This window comes from Homo sapiens, chromosome 12, assembly GCF_000001405.40.
Source record: "Homo sapiens chromosome 12, GRCh38.p14 Primary Assembly".
NCBI lineage: Eukaryota > Metazoa > Chordata > Mammalia > Primates > Hominidae > Homo > Homo sapiens.
Genome location: NC_000012.12, coordinates 59,129,045 through 59,138,505, shown reverse-complemented (window position 1 = coordinate 59,138,505; position 9,461 = coordinate 59,129,045). Strand labels below are relative to the sequence as shown.

The 9,461-nt window shown below is 37.2% G+C and overlaps 1 long non-coding RNA gene across 1 annotated transcript in view; it reads right to left on the bottom strand.

The window, feature by feature from the left end:
* Positions 1-7,630: 7,630 nt before the first annotated feature.
* LRIG3-DT (LRIG3 divergent transcript) overlaps positions 7,631-9,461 on the bottom strand; it is a 210,172-nt gene continuing 208,341 nt past the window's right edge. Inside the window, exon 6 of the long non-coding RNA NR_183518.1 lies at positions 7,631-7,854. This is a non-coding gene — a long non-coding RNA (LRIG3 divergent transcript). The remainder of the gene's footprint in view (positions 7,855-9,461) is intronic.

The window sequence follows — 9,461 nt, the reverse complement described above, 5'->3', positions numbered from 1 at the left end:
CTATGACTTCACTGAAGGCATTAACAATGCTAACTTCAGAGTAGGGTTCTGGTACAAAAATACACGCTAATATTAAAGATTGATAATTTTTCATTAGCAATTCAATATGGATGTGTTGCTAATTAGAAAAACCAAAATTTAGATATTAAAATATGCATATTATTATATCTCATTCAACCTAGGATTTCAGAATTCTACTTTAAAAATAAATAAATAAAGGTAATTTGGGGAATCTCTTTTGCTATGAAACTGGGAAAAGACTCAGAGATCCTATAGATCAGCAATTTAATTTTACTCATGAGAAATTTTTCTAGCTGTTAGCATTGAGAATCTGTATCTGCTAGATCACAAAGTTTAATGCTCTTTAGTTGCTCTCAAGTATACAGAAACCTAAATTTAACATAATTTTTTCCCAAAACTGTTTTAAATGTACTTAGGACATGTATTTTCAAATAATAGGTCAGGTGCAGTGGCTCATGCCTGTAATCCCAGCACTTTGGGAGGCTGAGATGGGCAAATTACTCGAGGTCAGGAGTTCCGGACTAGCCTGGCTCAACACATGGTGAAACCCCGTCTCTACTAAAAATACAAAAATTAGCTGGGCATGGTGGTGGGTGTCTGTAATCCCAGCTACTCGGGAGGCTGAGGAAGGAGAGTCGTTTGAACCTGGGAGGCAGAAGTTGCAGTGAGCCATGATTGTGCCACTGCACTACAGCCTGGGTGACAGAGCAAGACTCTATCTCAAAAAATAAATAAATAGATAAATAAATAAATAAACAACTGTTAATAATTTTATAAAAAACAAATAAAAAGAAAATTGATATTTACATCATCCTTTATAAAAAAGACATGAAACTATGGTTATACACCTCATAACAACATTTCAGTTCATAATGGACCACATATGTGAGCATGATCCATAAGATTCTAATACTGTATTCTTACTGTACCTTTTCTACGTTAGATACGTTTAGATACACAAACTATTCAGGGCAGTAACATGCACTACAGCCTGGGAGTAGTAGGCTAGACCACCTAGCCTAGGTGTGTAGTAGGCTATACAGTCTAAGTTTGTGTAAGCACATTCTGTGATGTTCAAACAATGACAAATTGCCTAAAGACACATTACGCAAAATGTATCCCCATCAAGAAGTAAGGCATGACTGCATTAGAAATTTCCTTTTTTCTGTTCTCTGAATGAAAAATGTATTCCCTGGCACCTATGAGTATCTCTGGCTTACCCATATTCATTTGCATACTTCTTTACAATGTAGAATAATTGTTTTCAATGTTTTCTGAAACAGTATTTCTGAATCTCAGAAGTAAAATACCATAAGAAAAATATAGGCATGTGGACCCATCATTCTAAGTAACAACTAGACTCATGGATGACTAAAAATCAAGATAGTGGCCAAAGAATAAGTGGAGACTTGAAATCAAAGTGGGACAAGTAAAGGAAGGAATGGAGAAGAAAGAAATCCCACAGAACCTAACAAAGAGGGAAAATGGCTTATGACCCCCATTTCTCAACTTTCTACTTCCTTCCTTTCTCAAATCACAGCAGCATACAACTATAGACGATCAGGCAAAAATCTATGAGTGATCTACAATAATGTCTACAAGGTATTCCACCAAATGATACACTATAATATATTTGAATTATTTTCTATTGTTTGACATTTGCATTTTATACAAAACTTTGAATATATCACTGAGTATGCCTATATGAATAATTAGTAGAAGTAAACTAGATAAATTATCAAGAATGAAAATTTTAAGGCTTTTAACCCAAACTATTTGTCAGGTAGATTGCACTAGCAGAAAGTAGCACATAATCTACACACTGCCTTGAAATCTTGCCAACTTTAGCTATCAAAATAAAACACATCTATTTTATCTAATTTTAGAAATAAAACTGACTTTCATTTCCAAAAAGCTAATGGTTTATTATTTTTCCTGGCTGTAAAATATACATGTTTCTCTAAAAAAAAAATTAAACAATCAAATTCTTACAAGGAAAAACAAAATCTCCTAAATATGTCAATTCAGAGATGTTTGTGATTATCACTGTGGCAAATCTTCTTCAAAACTTTATCTAAAACATTATCTATCTATCTGTCTATTATCTATCCTAATATGCATACACAGAAATTCTTTGTGATCATACTATAATGCTACTTTATAACAAAATTTTTCACTCTACAAGAAGCATATATTTTTTCATGCCACTAAATACACACGTACATATATATATACACACACACAAAGTATTTTAATGTGTAAAATAATCTCTGCTTTCCATATCTCTACACTTAATCAGTTATCTACTATGGGAAATCTAGGTAATTTCCAATATTTCTCAGTTATAAAAATAACTTTGTGTTTATATTTCACACACTTTTTACATACTTGTTGATGTGGTTTGGCTCTGTGTTCCCATCCAAATCTCATGTCAAATTATATTCCTCAGTGTTGGAGGAGGGGCCTGGTTGGAGGTGACTGAATCATGGGGGTGGACTTCCTTCTTGCTGTTCTTATGATAGTGAATTCTCATGAGATCTGATTGTTTAAAAGTGTGTAGCACTCCCGATTTTGCTCTCTGACTCTTGCAGCCCGTGTGAAGATGTGCTTGCTTCCCCTTCACCTTCTGCCATGATTGTAAATTTCCCGAGGCCCTCCAGAAGCAGAAGCCTGTACAGGCCATAGAACTGTGAGCCAATTAAACCTCTTTTCTTTATAAATTACCCAGTGTCAGGTAGTTCTTTACAGCAGTGCGAGAATGAACTAATACAGAAAATCAGTACCGGGGAAGTGGAGTATTGTTATAAAGATATCTGGCAATGTGGAAGCAACTTTGGAACTGGTTAATGGGCAGAGGTTGGAGGGCTCAGAAAAAGACTGAAAGATGAGGGAAAGTTTGGAATTTCCTAGAGACTTGTTAAATTGTTGTGACCAAAATGCTGATAGTGACATAGACAGAGATGTTTGGCTGAGGATGTCTCAGATGGAGATGAGGAACTTGTTCAGAACTGGAGTAAAGGTCACTCCTGCTATGCCTTAGTAAACAGACTGGCAGCATTGTGCCCATGCTCTAGCAATTTGTAGAACTTTGAACTTGAGAGAAATGATTTAGGGTATCTAATAGAAGAAATTGCTAAGCAACAAATGCTTAGAAAGATGTGTCAAGGCTGCTTTTAAAAGTCTACATTCATCTGCATAAACAAAGAAATAACCTGAAATTGGAACTTATATTTAAAAGGGAAGCAGAGCATAAAAGTTTGGAAAATTTGCAGCCTATGTAGTAGAAAAAAAACAAAACATTTTCAGGGGAGGAAATCAAGCCAGCTAAAGACATTTGCAAAAGTAAAGATAAGCCAAATGTTAATAGTCAAGACAAAAGGGACAATGCCTCCAAGGCATTTCAGAGATCTTTGTGGCAGCCTCTCCCATCACAGGCCTGGAGGCCTAGGAGGGAAAACTGGTTTCCTGGGCCAGGCCCAGGGCCCCGCTGTTCTGTGCAACCTCAGTACACAGCACCCTGCCTCCCAGCTGCTCCCACTCCAGCCTTGGTTAAAAGGGGCCAAGGTACAACTTGGGCTGTTGCTTCATAGTGTCCAAGCCCCAAGCCTTGGCAGCTTCCACGTGGTGTTAGGCCTGCAGGTGCCCAGAAGACAGGAGTTGAGCTTAGGGAGCCTTCACCTAGATTTCAGAGGATGTACAGAAATGCCTGGATGTCCATACAAAAGTCTGCTGCAGGGGTAAACCCCAAATGGAGAACCTCTACTAGGGGCAGTGTGGAGGGGATATGTGGGGTTTGAGCCCCCACACAGAGTCTCCACTGGGTCATTGCCTAGTGGAGCTGTGAGAAAAGGGACATTGTCCTTCAGACCCAGAATGGTAGATCCACCAATGGCTTGCACAGTGAGCCTAGAAAAGCTGCAGGCACTCAATGCCAGCCTGAGAAAGCAGCCACAAGGGCTGTACCCTGCAGAGCCACAGGGGTGGAGCTGCCCAAGACCTTGGGACCCTATCCCCAATGCCCTTGCATCAGTGTGACCTGGACATGAGACATGGAGTCAAAAGAAATTATTTTGGTACTTTGAGATTTAATGACTGCCCTCCTGGGTTTCAGACTTTCATGGGGCCTGTATCCCCTCTGTTTTGGCCAATTTTTCCCTTTTGGAATAGGAACAATTACCCAATGCTTGTACCCCCATTGTGTCTCGGATGTCTTGATTTTTATTTTACAGGCTTATAGGCAGAAGGGACTTGCCTTGTCTCAGAGGAGATGTTGGACTTGGACTTTTGAGTTAATGCTGGAGTGAGTTAAGACTTTGGGGGATAACTGGGAAGGCATAATTGTGTTTTGAAATGTGAGAAGAACATAAGATTTGGGACAGGCCAGGGACAGAATGATATGGCTTGACTCTGTGTCCCCACCCAAATCTCATGTCAATTTATAATTCTCAATGTTGGAGGACGGGCCTGGTAGGAGGTGATTGGATCATGTGGGTGGACTTCCCCCCTTGCTGTTTTTGTCACAGTGAGTGAGTTTTCATGAGATCTGGTTGTTTAAAAGTGTGTAGCACTTCCCCCTTTGCTTGCTCTCTCTTGCCAGCCATGTGAAGATGTGCTTCACCTTCTGCCATGATTGTAAGTTTCCTGAGGCCTCTCCAGAAACAGAAGCCTGTATAGCCCATGGAACCATGAGCTGATTAAGCTTCTTTTCTTTATAAATTACCCAGTGTCATGTAGTTCTTTATGTCAGTTTAAGAATGGACTAATACACTTGTGCAATTATCTCTTTAAGAAAATATATTTCAATAAGATCCCTGGGTCTAATGTCATGAGCATTTTAAAGTTATTCTCCAAACAACAATAAATGAACCTTTCCTTTAGAACATCTAATCTGCAAAAATGTCTAATGGAATTGGTTGTAATATAGACAGATTTGATATTTTAATATTGGGCAATCAAACGTGTGAACATTTAGAAAATCTGCATATATCCATAAACCAATAATTTCTATATGACCATTAAATAATGTTACATAATTTGACATAGATAAATGGCCCATTTAATGTGCAAGATAAGCCAACAGATTCAAAAGGAATAGTTTTAAAGCTTATCAATATGGCTTCAGATTCCCCATTGCAACTAACCTTTAAGAAACTACCACTTGCCAACTTTTGGTGTAATATCAAAGAAAAACATCCAAAATTATAGGAAAGGGGTGTTAAAATATTCCTCCTTTTTCCAACTCCATACATAACTGTGTGGTACCAGACATTTTATATATACTTCCACCAAAATAACAGAGTGCAACCAATTGAAGGCTGAAGTAGACACGATAATCCACTCCCTTCTATCAAGCCAGATGTTAAAGAAACTTGCAAAATTGTAAAGACAACATCACTCTTCACCTGAAAATTTTATTTCGAAATAAAAATTATTTTTTATAAAAATAAGCCAGTGTCCCATGCTAATAGGCAATGGAATTATTATTGTTATTTAAAATAAATTAACACATATATGTGTAATATTTTAATTGCTTAGCATTAATTTATAGTATGATAAATATCAATAGATAAAATGCACATAAACAAAAGTCTTTAGGACCCTCAAAAAGTTTTGAGAGTGTAAAGGGGTCCTGAGACTAAAAGGTTTGAGACATTTAACCTTGTCAATAGGAAGTCACTCAAAGGAGCACACCTCTTCAGAATCTGATAAACCTTGAAAAATTCAACAGACAAAACATAGCACTTCATTTAAAGGATGCTCCATAATCTCTTCTTCCATTTCCAAGGTTTGGACAATTTTTCCTGACAGTATTTACTGAGAAAAGAAGCCACATTTTACTGAGATTTAAAATGTGTGTTGGAACTCAGCGTTTAAAAAAATAAACAGGATCATGCCTGCTTTACATTATAAATTTAGTTTTAGGACTATGTAGGCAGGATGAGAATTCTGATATAAATTTTTGTAATACTAAACTACAGAACTACAAAAAAAAACAACAAACACAATAAATTTTTGGCTTTAGAAAATCTGAAACCCCAAGTTTAAAAGCAGTTTGTTACCAGTTGTAATGTTCTTATAGTAAGGCATGAATAATAATTATTTAAAAAGGGCAGTGAAGGCACAAAATGTATCCATGATAGACTTTTTGAAGGAGATATTTGAGAGAGAAGAAAACAATTCCCCTTTTCCCTTGACAAATGCAGGACATCTGGTCACTTTAATGAAGCATATGGGTACTAAACATTAGCTGAGCATTCCTTCTGTTGTTCTTACAGAAACTCTAGAACTCAAGAGACTACAATTTCTTATTTTAAAACCAATATAAAAAAAGGAATTTATTTGTATTACAAATTCCATGGTATATTGAAGGTATAAATCTGACTTTTAGGGCAAGTCTACCATATTTAATATGGCTGGAGTTTATATTTTATGACAGACTAGTAGCCCAAGTTATTAGGGTATGAATCCCCAATAGGCATGAATATTAGAGATTCTGAAAACAAAGGAGTTTAATACATTTTATTTAAAGGTAAGCAGTGTTCTATGGAGTAAGTAATCAGAGACAAAGAATACAACTGAGCAAGCTAAGGAGTCAGTCATTTAAATCTTAAAATTAAACCTGAAATCAGGCAATCAATCTTTGATAGAATGTATAATCAAATGATGGCTGTATACAGTTAAAGCAATGCAAAAACTACTTATTTGACAAATAGTTTAGGTAAAACGTTAAAAGTGACTGAATAATTAAGGTATATCCACCCTCCCTACAAGTCGCCAGCCTCTTGAAAAGACACATCTGGAGAATCACTAGAGGCTTTGGGGATGTTTAGAATTCCTTCAGTTCCTCTTCAGTTCCTCGTGACTAGTGAGCCAGAAGGTGTCTCAGGAGAAAGTTCAAGACAAAGAAATAACTAAAAATGTCATTTTATTCAAGAAAGCTATCTCTGTCTGATTTACAAAATGCCCCTACCTTTTAAAAAAACAAACAAACAAACCTCCTTCATTGGTTGTATTGTGTTTTGTTTTGTTTACACATAGCTTGAATTATAAATAGTGGCCTAATTTTAAATTGTCACAGCTGAGATGGCCAGCTAGCTCAGGTAAACAAAGCACTATCTCAGGATAACCAAAGCAAAGACCAAATGCTGGTTTGCCAAAGGGATAAAAAAAAAAAAATCAATTCCGTGGGCCTCTCTCTCAGATGCTAACTTTAGTGGAAAGATTCTGTCTCTCCTCTCTTTCCCCCACTACAGTCCCCTTCTCCTCTCTTCCTACTTCCCCTCCTATCTTTTTTCTTCCTCCTTTCCTCCCTCTGTACCCCTCTCTTTCTTTTTCTTTCTTCCAGTTTATGTATGTTGATAAAGAATATGAGAAAGGGTGTATTGTTTCCCATTGTCAGATTACACTTGCCCCTTCTAATAGAACTAGCACAAAGAATTAGAAACCAAGGGGTTGGCAGTTTCTGCCTGGCTTGTGTGAGCTGTTTTAAAATGTGAGCATAGAGAGAAAAATTCCATTTCTATGAAGGAGTTCAGCCTTAGAATAATCCTCAGGAATGCACACACACGTGTGCGTGCACACACACACACACACACACACACACACTTACTTTGGGGAACAAAATTTTAATCTAGTCAATAAAATGCTAAGTCAGGAAATATACTCTTATGAACGAAAATTACAGTTTCACGAAAAAAATTCTTTTCAAAATATATATTGCATAGACTTTAGTATTTGTGGTGCATCCATAATGGGCAGAAATTTCTTTGAAAATTGACATCTGTGAGCGGAATATCAACTCTTCCGTCTTTCTGTCTCCAAACTCCTTTCTCACTGCAAGAAATAATTTATTTAATTAATAAAAAAAATGGTCTTTAAAGCATGGGAGTGGCAGGACTTTCTCCAAAAATAATCTAGAGATACTATTTTAGTTTACATAAATATCTAATTGTTCATAATAAATATAAGAATCACATTGATTTTTCCTGTGCCTGTCCTTACATTTTAAACTTTCTTAATTTTAGTAAATCTAAACTTACAAGGTTATATCTGCAATATCAAATTAGGCCACAGCAAGCCACCTACCCTCTACAACTACCCATTTTCCCAATACATGCAAGACATATGAACTTAGTGATAGAGTTCTTTAAAAATATTCATAGAAAAATTACATATATATCTATATATATGTACCTTTCTCCTCCATACTGCTCAAACCTTAAAAATATAGAAAGCACTTTAATAAAAATTCAAATAAAATAATTTAAAAATATGACATATTAACTTCTTTCTTTAATATTTACTCCTGTCAAACATGCCTTCCACCCCAGATTAATGTAACACCCTGCCCATCTTGATATCAGTTTTACTTTGTCAGGTATTTTTTTTTTTTAATTCTGTACAGATCTCTTCTCCAGGTGCTGGGAAAATACTAGACCTAGTTTTACTAAGGTAGAAGAAATCTTAAGCATGTGTCTTTTATCTCTGGACTTCAGCTAAAAGAGTGAGAGCTAATTAGAAAAATATACATGTAAAAATACTTATTTGGATTTGACTAAATTAGAGACCAGGGCTGAGCTAACTGGTGTCTAAAGGGATTGTATGCATCACCTCTGTCTTGTTAGCACGGGGTTCTCATCAGCAGTTCACCACCTAATAGCCTCACCTCTTTGAGCATACTCCTGAGGTGCACCCAGGTAAGGCTGTCAATGCTGGTATTCCAGGCCTTGGAGGTTATTTCCAAGCCAAGTCTCAAGCTGGAGCAAAGTTACAAATCACTTCCCTAAGTTCCAATCTCCACACTCAAAAATGAGGTTCATCACTTGGTGAACAAATGTGAACCTGAAAGAGCCAGTCCTTCATGATGGATCCCAAGTAGCTAACTGGGCCTAAATTTAAAATAGAGCCAAGTGGCCATTTGGTGAGTAGAGGTTACACATATTCTTTGAGTTGCCCGAAAACCCTGGAAAACTGTACGTTTTTAACTTTGAGACTTTTCAGTGCTCACCTGAACCAACCAATCAATCACAGCTTAACTGCCTCAACCAATCAGATCTCAGCTTATTGACCAATCAGAACTAAACAAGTGTCAATCTTTCATTTGCATAAACAGATCTCACTGGAAACCTGGGTAGAAACTTTTGCTATAAGATCTGAACTCTCTGGCTGGGCATGGTGGCTCATGCCTGTAATCCCAGCACTTTGGGAGGCCAAGGCAGGTGGATCACGAGGTCAGGAGATCGAGACCACCCTGGCTAACATGGTGAAACACAGTCTGTACTAAAAAAATACAAAAAAATTAGCGGGGCATGCTGGCGGGCACCTGTAGTCCCAGCTACTCGGGAGGTTGAGGCAGGAGAATGGCATGAACCCGGGAGGCGGAGCTTACAGTGAGCCCAGATTGCACCACTGCACTCCAGCCTGGGGGACAGAGCGAGACT